Below are 16,526 nucleotides of genomic sequence, written 5' to 3'. Positions count from 1 at the left end.
GTGATACACAAATATGTGGATAAGCTAGAATATTTGAAGATTCTCTGGTTTTGAAATGTTGCTGCTAAGCGATGCCACTTTCTTTTAGCAACGTGATTTTAGAAGTCTCTTCCCCACTCTCATTTCACCTCACAAATACCTCTGAAAGTTACTAGGAGAGACTGTTTTAGAAAATACCCTTCTCAAATGGTGATAGTATACTAAGTTGCCTTATATTTTCACCCCTTTATAATTTTTAGAGCAGAATTTTCCAAATGAAACCGTGAAAACATTCATGAAAGACTGAATTGGAATTATTTCTGAAATGGATAGGCAAGCCAAGTATTAAGGCATTTATCAGTTATCTTTTGCCTTGTAACGCACCATGTCACTTATTCAGCACACAAGTGTGCAGCTCAGTACCTTGGAGCTGAGCTCAACTGGGCAATTCTTCTGCTCTGGGCCTGGCCTGGCTGTTCCTAACTGGGTTTATTGCTGAGACTGATGAGTTGTCTAGAGTTGGCTGGTTTATGAAGGCTTCGGATGGGATGGCTGGGATGATAAGGGCCTCTCTCTCTATGTGGTCTCTCATTTTAGAGGAGTTTATTCCAGGCTTATTCACATGAGAGTCACGGAGTTCCAAGAGAAACAAGTAAGTAAGCCCCAACCCACAAGCCCTTTTCAAGTCTCTGCTTGAATCGTATTTGCTACCATCCCAGCTCCGAGTCAGTGTGGAAAGGATTACCTAAGGGTGTGGATACGGGGAGATGTGGACAAATCGGGGGCCATTACTGCAATAACCTGTTTCAAAATGAGGTCTAAGACATACGGAGAGCCAGAAGGCCCAGGTTTGTCACTGCGAAGGCCTCCCATCAGAAGCAGAATTATGACGCAGGAGCCTGTCCTTCCAGGGACTCAGATATGCCTGGTTCCGTACATCCACCCCCACAGCCCCCTTCTGCCCTTCCACTCCTGAGTCTCTTCTTTACCTTCGTCACTGCCTGCTTTCAGATATTTTTCTCTTCAGGCAGCCCTGCAAGTGCCTAGCAAGGATGACAAATGAGCTTGACTTCCGCGGCGACGTGACTGTCCACAAACATAGCCTGGAGCATGCACAATGCAGCGGCGTCCACGGCACAGTGCAAATGCCGGAATGTGCTGTGGGGTTGGACAGAGATCATTGCTGCAGAAACAAAATGCAGTTTTAGATTAGCATTCTAGGCTATAGATAGCTTTGCTTAATTAGAGGAATAAGCAAATAAGTATCCTGAGTAGCTTCTGGATTGTCTCAACAGAGGAAAATGTATAAGTGAACAAGTTGCACGTAATTAAATAAAATTCACTGTGATCTGGCTGTCTGGTTTAGTTCACTCAATTTATATATAAGTAATCAAAGAACCAAAAGAGAAACAGAAGCATGGGTTGTCATTATAATTCTGATCAGTGACTTTGATCAAGGAAAGCTTTTTTACCAAACGGACACTGAGCTCCTGATTACCTACAGATTTATTTACAGGGAGAAATGAGCTCTCATTAGTCTCATTACAATCTTGCTAGATTAAAAAATCAACTAATCAATGAAAAGTGCTGGTTACACATGGTATAGTAGAGATAAAATTAAATTATATAGACCTTTTTCTCAAAGATATGACATGTAAGCAGATCACATTGGTATAAAATGAGTAAACAAGAATAATACTGAAAGCAACAATAATAAAATGCAATATTCAACATTGACTAGATACTAGGGCTGTATCAGATGCTTTACATATATTATATAGTTTAATCTTTAAAGCCAGTGATGAGGTGGTTATCGCCATCTTGAATTACCAAGAGTGAAAACTAGATCTCCAATAGGATCTGCAAGTACTCAAGGTCATAGAGGTGAAAAAGTGTGTATTCTGGGCTCAAACTCAGGATTGTTTGACTGTAAGCTTTTAACTAGAGTATGCTTCCTCTTACAATAAATAGAGAGTACAAAGCAAATATTTCAGTGACTCATGTGAGGGCCAACCTTGATCCAAGCATGGATGCTGGGGATATAGAGAGTTGATCCTTAAGAAGCTCATAGTCTAGAGGGAAGGACAGGCAGAAATGCAATGCTGTATCATCATTGCAGTGTTATTCACCGTTGAGGGTGACACATATGGAAGACGTGAGCAGAAACAAAGAGTAGCATAAACAAGTGAGCTTGTTTTTACTTCTGACTTCTACCCTGACTACTCCCTCCAGCCCTTTCTCTAACACAGATATGATATCTCCTTCCAGGAAAAGGCTTGGGATTGTGAGCTGTGTTACCCAGGTATTAAACAGGACCAATCCCAGAGTTCTTGCTGCTATTGAAGGCAGGAGAAAGAGGCAAGAAAAATTAAAATCAACCACTGTGACTATTTTTAAGATGCCTTCTAGTCTTAAATTTATTTCAGTTTTAGAACTTTAATGACTATTGCCTCATTTGATTCTTTTACTAACTTGTGATGTTATCAATACTTTGCAAATGAGAAAACAAATATAGGTTAAAATTTTCAAGGTAACTGTGTTACTACATTGGGTGGCTTAAACGACAACAACGAAGAGCTATTTTCTCACAGTTCTGGAGGCTGAAAGTCTAAGATCAAGGTGTTGGCGGGGTGGGTTTCTCTGAGGCCCATTTCCTTGGCTTGTAGACAGGTGCCTCCTCCCTTGAGTCCTCACATGGTTTTCTCTCTGTTCCTGTGCATTCTGGTGCCTCTCTGTGTGTGTCCTAATCTCCTCTTCTTGTGATGACCCCAGTCAGATTGGATTGGGACCCATCCTAACAGGCCCTTTTTAACTTAAACACCCTTTTAAAGGGCCTGTCTCCAAATATAGTCATTTACTGAGGTCCTAGGTGTTAGGACTTCAACATATGAATTGGGGGAGGGAGATATAATTCATCCCATGACAGTAACTCAGATACAGCATGTTGGAGCCAGAATATGAAACATTTCTGATTCCACATGAAGTCATCTACCCACTTAAGCAAACCTCAGTTATTGTCTCTTCTCAGCCTTTCCTCAGGACTTTCCTGTAACCTTGGTGTCTCTGAAAAGACTTAGACCACCTTTCCCTTCTATCTTTATGTAAAAATGTACCCATTTCATCGCACAGTTGAAATAATAATACCTTTTTTGATAAAGCCATCTGATTCTGCAGTTGGAAACTAGTCTTTCCTCATGGGAATTGCTGCTAGCATTTCCATTCTCTTGAAGGACTTTCTACTTCTACTTTATAGAATAAATATATATTTTATCTCTCTTATTCTAAATTTATAAGCTCCCAATTACGTTTTCCTATGTCTTTTTGAGTACATACTGTGAGTGAGACATAGTCCTAGATGCTGATGTAAACCAGACACACGAGATTCCTCCTTTCTCTGCAATTTTTGTTCTACTTTGGAAATAAGCAATATATAAGGAAGTAAACTAGACTATTTTAAATAGTGGCAACTCATAAGAAGAAAATAAAACAGAGGAAAGGAATAAAGGATGACTGTAGGTGAGTTTGGGAGGGTCCAGTTCCATTGGCCATGAACTCTAGAGTTGAGTTTCAAGACGAATCTTAAATGATAAGAAAATGTCAGTCTCAAAAAGAGTGTTTCAGACAAAGAAACAGAAGATGTCAGCCTCAAAAAGAGTGTTTCAGACAAAGAAAAGGCAAATATGAATATCCTGAGGTGGGAAAAAATCTTGGAGTTTTTAAGGACAGAAATGATGTAACTGGAACAGATCAAGTGAGAAAGACAGAGACAAAATTTAGCAGGCACCAGACACCTAGGTCCTGGTGGGTCCCAAGAAGGGTGCTGAATTATGTTCTTTATGTCACGAGAGCACCTGTTGGATGAGATAGGTGTTTACTAAATGTCTTTGGGCATTAATTAAATTAAGCCTGCTTAGGATTTGATTGTTCTGGTAAACTGGGTGAATGAATCTACATGAAAACAAAAGATTAATGGCTAATTGCACCATGTATTCATTGTTTAAGTAAAAACTTTTGATTTTACTCAGTTGCAAGGAGCAGGATCAAATAATTTCCCATGTCTTTTACAGGAAGTCTTATTTTTCATTAGTGCTAAATCACTTAACATCATCATATTTTTACTAATGAGCTGAAGATTTTTAGATAGCAAAATCTTAAGATATTAATCCTCTTAAGATAGCAATAAAATATCTCCTAAATACCTGATGGCAACTAGTAGGCTCTCTCTCTAGTACAAGATGTGAGTGCATGATTTCATGCAACACTTTTTTATAACTGGAATAGCCGATGTGATTATCCATCTCTGGAATTGAAATAGCTTTGGTACTTGACGTGACCTTCATTTCAGGCTGGGCTGAAATTCTGTTAGGGAGGGGAATGCAGATGCAAAGTAGTATTTGGGGAAATAAATAGCAGCATCTTTTCTATTCTCTTAAACACAAGATAAAATATATTGTGCAGCAGGTGTAAAGTTCTCTGTGCAGTACAAGTAAAGCTAGAGAAAAATAATTTCCACATTGGAATTGAAATGATTCATCATTTTTCTCATGACTCTCATAGAAATGTTTTGCCCTGAATATCTTCTCTAAGCAAAGTTGCAGGGTTAGTAACAACTAAAAGTCTTGAAAATGAAGCTCATTTGTTCTGAAAATTAGAAACATATCTTCATCCATTCACATTTCCTGAAAGGAAATTTGCACATTATCTATACTTCACTGTCCTTAGCACAGAAATCTTTTTTTAAGCCAACAAAAAAAAAACATTGAGTTGAGAGACAAAATACGTGAATGGTAAAAGACATTTGATTTCAAAATTTCATTTGAATTCCTTAAAAACACAGCTACCGAACTATATAAAATATTTTTCATTCTTTGCATCCTTTAATTTAATTACCTCATTTTTAAAATTCTACAATTTTATAATTCTATTTGGATGGAACTGAGGAAGAGTAGGGTGATCTCTTTTACTATAGGTGGTGCTGAAGGTGGACCCAACTAATTGATCACTATTTAAGTCTGCAGAGGCTCTTTCAGCAAGTAAAGATTGCTTCATATAAAAGAGAAACAAAAGGGAAATCAGAATGTCATAAAAATCCAATCAGATTGACAAATTAAGGGCATATGTGAATAATGGCTACAAATGGTGTTATTTTGGGTTGCTGTTTCATATATCTTGCTATATTTAACAAGCCTGGCTCATTTCACTTTCAATACCTTTCTCATGTCCAAACCAGCCCATTTGTTGGGACCACCTGGTGTCAATATCCACATCTACCAATGCCCAATTACCTGCCACTGCATAGGTCCTTCCTCCTGCTACAATACTCCAGCCCATGAGTGTAAGAGTAAAAGCTAGGTGCTCATCAAAGAGTGTCAAAATGAAAACAAGAAAGAAAGAAAGGCAAAGCTTGCTGTGTCCCAAAGACTGTTAAGCTTGAAAGTACGATCCTGCACCATAAGCAACTTTGGCACAGGGTATCAATGTTCAGCACCTTGTTCAGTCTACACAGGGGCTCATCATCCTGTAGTGTCTATAGCAGGTTAATCACAATGTGAATGTAGAATGAGTTCAAGTGATATTGAGTAACAGAAAGCACATAGTCTTGGGAAGAAACTAGGATTGGATTTAGGTTCTACCACTCATCAGATATACGGGACCAAGCAAGTCACTTAGCCCTTTGTGATCTCAATTACTTCATCTGTGAATGGTAATACTTCATAGAGCCCACCAGGGTACTGTGAAGATTTGATAAAGTTAAGAGTGTTAAAGTACCTAGACAGCATAATGATTCTTCCTTTTTTTTTCCTCTGTGGTAATTTTGTTCTTGGCCATGCCCAGAAAAAAAAGGTTCTCTTCACCTACCTTCCAGAAAGAAATAAGAAACCTAGAGAAGATCTAGTGAAAAGCAGTCAAGAGAAAGAGGTGGTTCCTAAGGGGGTCAAATGTAAAAAAAAAAAAATTAAAACTTTTCTGACATTAAAGGTTGAGTATGGTGTGGTACATGATCTGAATTCAATAGCACAATACCGGAAAAACAGAATTTTGAAGCATTCCTTTAAACTTTAAGGAGATAATGCAAAGTCAAATAAAATATACAAAGTTTACAGAAGTAAAACATGAATTTAGAAAATAGACCAAACAAAGAAATATGAGTAGGTTTGGGAAATGCTAAAATAAATAAATAAATGTTGAATCCACAATGAGGTGACATAATTATTAAAGCATAAGTTTCAAAAAGGTAACATCATGACTCTCATACAGATATAAAGTAAACATGTGTCAAATATATTATTTAACATATTAAAGAGAGGACCAAGGGCCAGGGATGGTTCCTTACATTTGTAATCCCAGCACTTTGAGAGGCCTAAACGGAGGATCACTTGCCCCCAGGAGTTTGAGACGGGCCTGGGCAACATAAAGAGACCCCCATTTACAAAATATTTAAAAATTAGCCAGGCATGGTAGTGTGTGCCTGTAGTCCCAGCTACTCTGGAGGCTGAAGCGAGAGGATTGAGCCCAGGAGGTCCAGTCTGCAGTAAGCTGTGATTGGTGATTGCGCTACTGCACTCCAGCCTGGTGTCAGAACAAGACCCTGTTTCAAAAAATTAAATTTAATTTAAAAATAAAGAGAGAACCAATACAATGTAAAATCCAGTCCAAAAGCATTGTAAAAGCTAGAATTTCTAGAGTAACTTTACTGCTATGTATGATACAAAACTGATTAAAGTCTTAGAGAGCAATAAACATACTTTTGGGAATATTTGAACAGAAATTAGTTATATTTCTACTGGACAAAAATCTATCAGTTGACTCTTGTTTCTACAAGATGTAAAATAATCCAACGACAGAAAGTCAAGCCTAGAAAGAACATATGGTGATTTCTTTTGCTTCTAAGCTTCAGATAATTGTTTTTTTGGATACTATAAATTAAGATCATCTGGGATTCCTCACTTATCTCTCAAAGTAGACTTTGTAGTCTGTGGGAAGAACAACTGCCTCTTCCCACAAAATACCTCTTGGTCCACTCTTAGTCCATGGGACTTCCCATGGTTTGAATGTGTCCCCCGAAAGCTCATGTGTTGGAAATTTACTTGCCATTATAACAGTATTAAGAGATGAGGCCTTTAAGAAATGATTAGGTCATAAGAGCTCCATTCTCATGGAGTAATTAAAGACATCATTGCCATACTGGGCTAGTTATCATAGGAGTGGACTCTTGATAAAAGGATGAGTTTGACACCATTTTCTGTCTGTGTCTCAAGCTTGCTTGCCTTGTGATGCCTTCCACAGTGGGATGACCCTGGCCAGGTGCTGGCATTATGCTCTTGGACTTCACAGTCTCCAGAGCCATATGCCAAATACACTTCTGATCTTTATAAATTACCCAGTCTGTGGTATTCTATTATAGCAGCAGAAAACAGACTAAGAGAGGACTAGTCACTATACTTGGCTGCATGGCTATTAATATGATTGTAGAAATGAACTCAGGTAATGGCGACAAAGCTGAAAAAATCTGGTAAAAGTTATTATAATTAGTTTTTTCTCATGCCTAGAAAAGTCTTTTGGGTATCAGAGGCCCATAACAATGTTATTTTAACTTGTTAGTTTGACAGGAGTGGGATCCCCTTTGAAACTTAAAAGTCAGTCCCTTGAAAACTCATCGACATGTAATTTATCTGAAAGAAACTATCAAAGTAGAGCAATGAATATGGGGCATATATGGAGCATATATGGATATGAATATAGGAATTTGGAGTTTAATGGTAATTTTGTTACATTATCACACAACTTATGAAAGAAAAATCGTAGAAGGAAATAAAAAAGTAATAAAAAAAATCAAAGCTGGAATAAAAGGTTTCAAAAAGCTCCCAGAAAGCATAAGAACAAAATTCTTTCTCTCTATACAAGTCTGATAAGTACTAAAAGCTGGGATTCACTACTGCTCTGATAATAATAAATTTTATTTATGTTGAAAATAAAAAATAAGCAGGCCTGTAATTTAAGTTGTGCAGAGACATAAAGAATGTCATTTCTCACTGGAACATTCTAGGAAAGAAAGACTGACTGACAGCTAATAAAACTATACCTTAATTTGTCAGACTTTTAAAATCATTTCTGTATTACATAAAACAGGCTAATTCTAAATGCTTACATTTTCGGGATCACACAGAATTCCTGGAACAATTAATTTACAGAGGAGAGAAACAGGATTTTTATTCATATAAATAACTCGAATTGACACTGGCCTTTTTACCTAAAGGAGTTATTGAAATGGCTAGAAATGGAAGACTCAACTGATTAAAGCCTCTCCATCTTTGTCACTCTGTGCCAACCAGCGGTGGTGCGCTCAACAGAATTCGGAAGGAGAGAGAACAGCATATGGCAGAATGAGTTTTGAGCCCCATAGAAATTTGCCTCCATTCCCACTCCATCTGTGCATTGTGTGGGATCTCTCCCCATCGCATAAAGATGCTGAGCTAAAGACAGTAGAAATGTACGATGGGAAAATGCAGAAACAGCTTTCATGTCATGCTAAGCATTAACAAAACACTTCCGTTCCACAGTACACATCTTAAACTGAGAAAGATGAGTAGTGTTAAGTTTATCTGAGGGCACTCAGTGATTCTTCGAGTTCAGTGCACAAAGAAAGCTTCCTGGATGGAGGCAATGTGAGCTGATTGCTGGAATATGTCAATGTTTGGCTTTGGGGTCTGGGGAAGGATGTGTTGTGCAAATCATTGGCCTCCTGGGAAACAAGAAATACATTCAGGCGGCCAGCGAGTCCCAAGAGGACTCACGGTAGGCAAACAGTTTGGGTATTTCTCATGTGCACCTCAACGCAAACAATTTTGCTAACAGAAGCTGAAAAAAAGAAAAATGAAGCCAGTAATTTGTGTTTTATTATTAGTTTTTTTGTGTGTTTTATTATTAATCAGTAGCCATTGTTTCTTAAAATTTGTAGGGAAACCTAGAAACACATTCCATCCATTACTCTCTCTGTACCTATCCCCTTTCCACAAATTATGTTGAGGGCTCTGATTCCCTCCCCATCTTGATTAGGGGAGCCACTGTCCTGTGCCTGTGCTTCCAGCACAAAATAGACATGGGCCAAGGACAGGGAACAGGACAGGAGGCAGGATCTGGGGAGATGCCATGCCCATTGCAACCGTTCACCTCCCTTTTCCTCTCTCTCCTCTGTTAGACACACATACACACACACACACACACACACACACACACACACACCAAGGAGCATTCTTCAGCCATTGATGTAGGACAACTTCGTGCTGCCTCCATCAGAATCTACTCCTAATGCTGGAAGGCCTGATTAAAACTCCAAATTGATCAAGAATTCTTGCTTAGTTTTCAAGCTAGAAATCCTGTTTAGTTAGAACATAGTTAACTCTAACCGAATGCATCCTTTTTACTGTTATAATAGAGAGCCTTTGGGTGTTTCAGTGAATGCTACACAGGATACAATTAATGGAAGGGCATAGTTTGTGCCCCCTGCGCCCTCTTGGCCATGTTGTATTAGAAGTCACTAAACCTTTTGATTTGCCTTATTTATTTTTCTGAAGCATGCTCAATACATTTTTCCTATTTATTTCTGAAGAATTTCAGAGAAATAAACTGGTAAAAAGAACATTGGAATGATTTCCAAATATTTGGGAAATATTTTACATATTTCCAAAATACATTTGTCTAGACTCACATACCGATTTCCTAACTTGGCTGTAATTTTACGTATGTAAAGCGATGAGAAAAATTCTCTAGATTGTAACCAAAGGCAATATCCATGGCATGATATGCAGGAAATCCTCAGGAGATCTGGGGTGAAGGAAAGAATCTTTGTTCTCAGACCATGGCCCAGCCATATGCTTGCCTCCTTCCCAAGCTGTGGTGATATGGTTTGGCTGTGTCCCCACCCAAATCTCACCTTGAGTTGTAGCTCCCATAATTCCCACGTGTCATGGGAGGGACCTGGTGGGAGATAACTGAATCATGGGGGTGGTTTCCCACATACTGTTCTCGTGGTAGTGAATAAGTCTCATGAGATCTGATGGTTTTATACATGGGAGGACCCCTGCACACGCCCTCTTGCCTGCTGCCAGTAAGACATGACTTTGCTCCTGCTTTGCCATCCACAATGATTGTGAGGCCTCCCCAGCTATGTGAAAATGGGAATCAATTAAACCTCTTTCCTTTATAAATTACCCAGTCTCAGGTATATCTTTATTAGCAGCCTGAGAACAGACTAAAACATGTGGCATAGAATAAAGATGGAATTTCAAAACTTAAACTTCTGTGCAGGGCCATTGAAAACTTACCCAGGTGGAGAAAGAAGTGAAGTTTTTGCTTTAGTGAGCTGAGGCATAACTCAGGGAGACCTGGAAAGAAAGGCAAGGCCTGTACACATGCTGGAGACAAGTGGGCAGTGCCTGTACATCACCATGACTGCCATCCCACCCTGAGACGCTTGCAGGCAGGTCACCAGGACCACGGTTATTCTTAGAGTTAATATGTGTAGTTGAAAGTCCATGGAGTTTGAAATCAGGTAAACCTAGGTTGAAATCTCAACTCTGCTACTGACTATCTGAGTGAACTTGTATAAGTTGAAGCCTCTCTGAGTGTTAATTGTATCTTGGGGTAGCAGAACCCTTATTCCATGAAAATATAAAAGAGAGAGAAGAAAATCAGTCCCAGGTAGTTCACATAAGTGGGCATCTCTTCCACTGGAATAAAAAAGTAGAAGCAAGTACTACACTAAGTATCAAGACACCTTGCCACTAAACATGGCAGTCCTGAAGGAGCAAGTCACTCCAGCTCTCTAGATTTCCACTTCACCATCTAAAAAACAATCAACCCTATGATCCTATGGATGAAACACCTCCACTCCACACAGAGTCTTTGTATGTTAGTGGCAAAAAGGTCTTTGAATGTTAAAACATACTTCAGTGTTAGCATTTATTCCTGGTCTTTCACTTTGGTTTGAGCCTGGAGAGGGGAGTAAGGGCTGTTGTAGAGGGAGGGTTTTCTTATCTATGGAAGAGGAGCACAATCTCATTTTCTGTTTAGCAAAAGAAGAGTGGGATTGCTAAGCCATGGATTCCGGTCATCCCTGAGCTCTCCTGCCTTGGGAACATTGTTCATTAGAGTTCAGTAAGGTGGCCCAATATCACTACGCTTCAGAAGTACGTCATGATAAATAGTGCCACCTGCAGCATCTTTATTTAGCCTTGGGGACTTTTCATATTAAAACTCTTATAGAGTGACATAGTTAGAATATTTGTTAGTGACATTTCTCCTGAAAGCTTGGATAATGCATATGCTTACAGAAGAACAAATGAAAGCAGAAGGCTGGTGAGTCAGCAGTATCCCTTAACAATGTACTGTGTGACTTTGCAGAAGCTCATAGGAGTAGTTTTCTTTCTATGGAACTTCTTTGCTTTTCCTTGATCATTGTACTCTATTAAATCAGAACATTGTACTCTATTAAATCAGAACCCAAGGGTATAGTAATTAATCCTTCAAAGACAAGGGACCTTTCACAATATTATAATCCATTTCTTACTTTTGTACATAATTCATTCCTGAAAATATGTATATATGAATGTTGAATATAAAAAGTAGATATTCTCATGAGTGGTGTTTCCGTACCTGTAACTCTAAAAATATAAGAAAATCCCCAAATGTCATGCAATATTACATGATTATTTAAAATATAACTAATAAATCAAACGTTAACATCCAACAACATAAATTCACTTCCCAAAGTTAATAAGAGGTGAGATTTAGGAAACATACCAGCCCTCATTTTGCCAGAATAATGAATACATTTTTTTATGCTGAAAAATGTTGCTAAAGAAGGTTGAATACTGGTTTTATATTTTGTATCAAGCAGAATCTTGATCAACATTTCAATGGAAATTTACTCTGTGTCTGGATCATAGAAATTTTATATAGCTTGGTTTTAACTTATCATTTTTATGACATTTGATAATGTTTCCACAATCATATGTTTCATGTGTGTCTTTTAGGTTTTGTGAGTTCTCTTCACTGAAGAACAACTGGTCAGGTAGTTGAACTCAAATGAACACTGACTCTAAACATGGGCTACTCTCAGTATCCCCTGATGACTCCTCTTCTGGAATAGTACCAACCTGAGAGAGTCCCTGTTAAATCTTTAGGAATTATGTGACCTGATTGATATCACAATGACAACTTGAAATCAACCATGGTGATAATATTTACACCATGGGAGCTGGTAAATACTACAAATCAAGGTGTCCTTCCCATCCTCAGAGAATTGCTTGTTGAGCATTTACCCACATACCACTGGTAAGTCCATTTATCAGACACAACTAGGATTAGGGACTGGTCTGTTAATAAATACAGTTGATTAAAGTGGTGAAAAATAGCTTGAAACGAAAACCTACATTAACTTGCCAATCTTTTGGTATAGAGCCAAGGCTTTTCGTTGAATGAATTCACTTTGTTCCTAAATCATATCTATATTGCACCCCCACCCCAACCATTTCCAGTTTCTGTTTCTTTAAAGAGCAGCAGGAACTTAAAAATACTTGTGAAGGAAACTGCATGCCAAATACTTCTAGATTATCTTTCCAGTTTTTTACAGTTGTGTCACTTTCACCTAATTTGATATTATTTTAGTGACTTGTCTATATTCTTTTCAAAATATTCCATTTATTTGTTATACAAATAATACTATTTTAACACTAACAGATTACAAATTGCATAATATTTGATTAAATTATGTAATTATAATGATAAGGAACATTGACATAAATAGGTTTGTGAACAAACACCACTGATTCTTGATATGCAGAATTTTAGATATAGCACAGGCCAGCCTCAGCCCTAAACATCAGTCATCACATCAGTCATTACAATTCCAGGCAGCATAGAGAGTGATGATTAATCCCATTAATTAATTAAGCAGAGTTTAGTTGAAATTTCTACTGTATTATCATTATAAGCATTTTATTTTTCTGGTATTTAATCACTTAAAAAATAAAAACGACAAACATAAAATATATTTGAAATATTGTATACAAAATGACATATTTAAAAAGCCTTGGCCGGGCGCGGTGGCTCAAGCCTGTAATCCCAGCACTTTGGGAGGTCGAGGTGGGTGGATCACGAGGTCAGGAGATCGAGACCATCCTGGCTAACACGGTGAAACCCCGTCTCTACTAAAAATACAAAAAAATTAGCCGGGCGTGGTGGTGGGCGCCTATAGTCCCAGCTACTCGGGAAGCTGAGGCAGGAGAATGGCGTGAACCTGGGAGGCGGAGCTTGCAGTGAGCTGAGATCGCGCCACTGCACTCCAGCCTGGGCGACAGAGCGAGACTCCGTCTCAATAAAATAAGTAAATAAATAAATAAATAATAAAATAAAATAAAAAGCCTTATACGAACACTGATATAATCAAATTGAATCAAAGGCCACAAGATAACATGAAGTGTTTGTTATTTGATTCAAAGAAGCCAGAGTCTGACATAAAAAAGGCCAGAAATTGGCATAGGAAATACAAATTATGAGTGTCGAGGTATCATTGTCACTATCACAGCAAAAACAACTACCACAATAATAACTAAGGTTTATTGAGCTCTTCTTATATGTCAGCACTATTATTCTAAAGAGATTTACATACACTTTGTCCATTACGGTTTAGGTGAGGAAACCTGAACACAGAAAGATGATGTAAATTACCTAGGAACCCATGGCTGGTAGGGATTTGTGCTAGGTTTTAACTAAGGTAGCTCTGACTCCAGAGCCCAGGATCTCACAATACTATGTGCTACAAGCTGTAGGCACCAATGGGTATCAGCGGTCTCTAAATTCTCTACTATGTCTTTCAAGTGTGTTTATCTGAGGCTTGTTCTCTGACCATACTTGTGCTAGATGTTCCCATTCACTTGTGACTAAGGGAAGATGGGAGGGAAACAGGAAAGGAGGAGGCAAAAATCTCTCAAATTTATGATACATTTTCATTGCCCCTACTGCTTTAGTTATCTATAGCTACAGTACAATTTGCTGCACAAGTTAATGGTGCAAATGATAATTCATGATTATCCCCATGGTTCTGTGGAAAACCTGGGCTCAGCTGAGCAGTTCTTGCTTGGTGTTCTTTATGCCATGTCTGTCTGATGGTGACTGGGGCAGAGTCAGCTGAAGGCTTGACTGGGCTGGATGTCCAAGGTCACTGGACTCATTTACATGGCTGGAAGTTGATGCTGACCCTTGGAGCAATTTCACCTGTTCACAAGAGCACCTACATGTGGCCTCTCCATGCGGCCTGGGATTACTTGGAGAAAGATTGCTTCAGCTTAATCAGTGGTTCCAGAAAGCAAGGTGGAAGCTTCTGATCCTCTTAAGTGCTAGACTGAAATAGCATAAGCCTCACTTCCTCCATACTTTATTAATCAAGCATTTCAAAGGTTAGACCAGATTCAGATAGAGGAATATTGGGCTCTTCCGCTCAGTGGGAGAACTAGAAAATAATCTGCAGCCATCTTTAAGCCACCATATCTACCAGAGTCTGCCAATCTAAGACATCCTCAGAGCCTAGGTCACGGGAAGCATCAAGTCTTACCCAACAGCCTTAGGAGTTTATCAATGGACACAAAGAAGAAAATTGCCTCTGAGGACTAAGAAAGTCTGTGGTAGTGCACATGGCTGTACTTGGCCTTAACATTTAAAACACATTTTGTTAGAGACCATTCCCTTTTTAGTGTAACTCACAAAATGTGCAAATAAAGAAAATGCATATTTTGAAGAAGACTTTTTTTCTTATTTTCAAAAAAGCAAAATCAGGAAAAATTTTGCAGTAAGCACACATCTTGCTTTCTGATTGGCTTTAAGTTGCCCTAGGCACATAGTGGACCACCAAGGTTTGCATCCCCAGATTCTATACGTATTCAGTTGCTTACTACAAATTAGTGTATTTTCAACTTGAGAATACCTGGCATTCTAACAGGGCACAAATTTCTTTTTCACATATAAAAAATACTCTTCTGTAATGCATCAGTCTCTTGGATAAATCATGGCTATTAGGCCTATTTCAATTCTCTTTATAAAAACTCAGTATTTAATGTCCTGGGACATTTTAACGCTGTATGTCAAGCTAATATGCAAAATACAAACCCATTATTACCTATTTACTTGGGTTATTATTCTGGCTAAGGTGTAATTTTCCACCAGGCATTTGTTTAGAAATTTGGCAGCACAAAGAGAATATTTCCATACTTAAAAAGCATCCAGAATTTAGAATGACATCCAGCGATATTAAGCAAGTGCAGATAATGCTCTCAAACTTCATCAAATATTCATGGTTAATTATACTCATAATATTTATGTTGCTGTGAAAATTAAGGTTGTGAGCCTCTTGTACACAGGCTAAAAATACAAGCTTACAGGCTGTGCTGTTGCTTACCCCTTTCATTACCGGAATTTCTCGTTGTCATTAAATACAAAGAATGGCAAGCATGGTGTTCTTTGGCTCTCTAAATCACACTGCAGATCTGCTCACTCCCTAGATAGACCTGAAAAAAACATGATGAAAGAACCACTTATGTGATACTGCAATACTTGTGTGATTGGAGGCCCAGTGACTACCTTTTCTGGAAAAAAAAAAAATCAGGACACATAGACTGACAAGTCTGAGAATACTTTGGGCAGCCCAAGATAGATTATTTGAAATTCAAAGATTCTTGGAAAAACATGAGACATATGGTCATTACATCTGAAGGGAAATAGGATCACATGGTACAGAAGAAGGAAGGTCTTGAATCATCTCCTCTCATCTATTTTCTACTCAACCGTAGTTGAGAATAAAAATGTAGTTGTAAATTTTAAAGACAGTTATGGGAAAAATCTTTCCAATATATCTCTGTTGTTAGTGTCTGTCTCTAAAGACTATCACTCAGAAGTAAAGTTCAAACTTCCCAGATAAACTTTCACCACTTCTTGCCTCCCCTCCTGCTGCTTGCTCTGGATGTTTGACTTGCTGGGTCACAGCATTTCTCAGTCGATCACATCTCTGGGCCTTTCTTATTCTATTACTTCTTTTTTCAGTATGGTCTCTCAGGAGAAGTTCATCTCCTCTTTACTGATAAACATCAATATCACCTTCTCTGCAGTTCTTGTACCTTCTAGAATCTACAAGGTGAGCCAGATGCATGTTCCCCAAAGTTCCTATCCCTGTACATAGCTTCCCTAACATACTTGTCTCACTTACACCCAATTATAGGCTTATATGTATGCCTCCCTTATCGAGTCATAAAAGACTCATCAAAATTGCAGATATGCAAATTTTAGATGACTAGTGAATGTATTGGATGAGGAAATTAAGTTTCAAAAAAAAAATCAAAGTATTGAAATGATGGACCAGGATACATATGATGAACTTTATTGGAGTAAATGAAACATTCTTCATTCAATTTCAGAATACAACTGTATAGTTTTAGTATAGACCTAGCTGAATAGCAGAAGGAGGGAAATAAATTGTTCTTGTTCGTTGTTAAGAA

General features: G+C 38.2%; 1 annotated feature.

The window, feature by feature from the left end:
* Positions 342-1,541: an enhancer, noted in NCBI's record as "BRD4-independent group 4 enhancer chr13:34798824-34800023 (GRCh37/hg19 assembly coordinates)". NCBI's record gives its function as "activates an origin of replication core promoter dependent on BRD2, P300/CBP, MED14 and CDK7 cofactors, and independent of BRD4, by STARR-seq in HCT116 cells {active_cell/tissue: HCT116}" and the evidence as "EXISTENCE:reporter gene assay evidence [ECO:0000049][PMID:35650434]".

The sequence above is a fragment of the Homo sapiens genome, chromosome 13, assembly GCF_000001405.40.
Source record: "Homo sapiens chromosome 13, GRCh38.p14 Primary Assembly".
NCBI classification, from domain to species: domain Eukaryota; kingdom Metazoa; phylum Chordata; class Mammalia; order Primates; family Hominidae; genus Homo; species Homo sapiens.
Note: the sequence above shows the minus strand (reverse complement) of the source record. Positions and strands in the feature narration are given on the sequence as shown.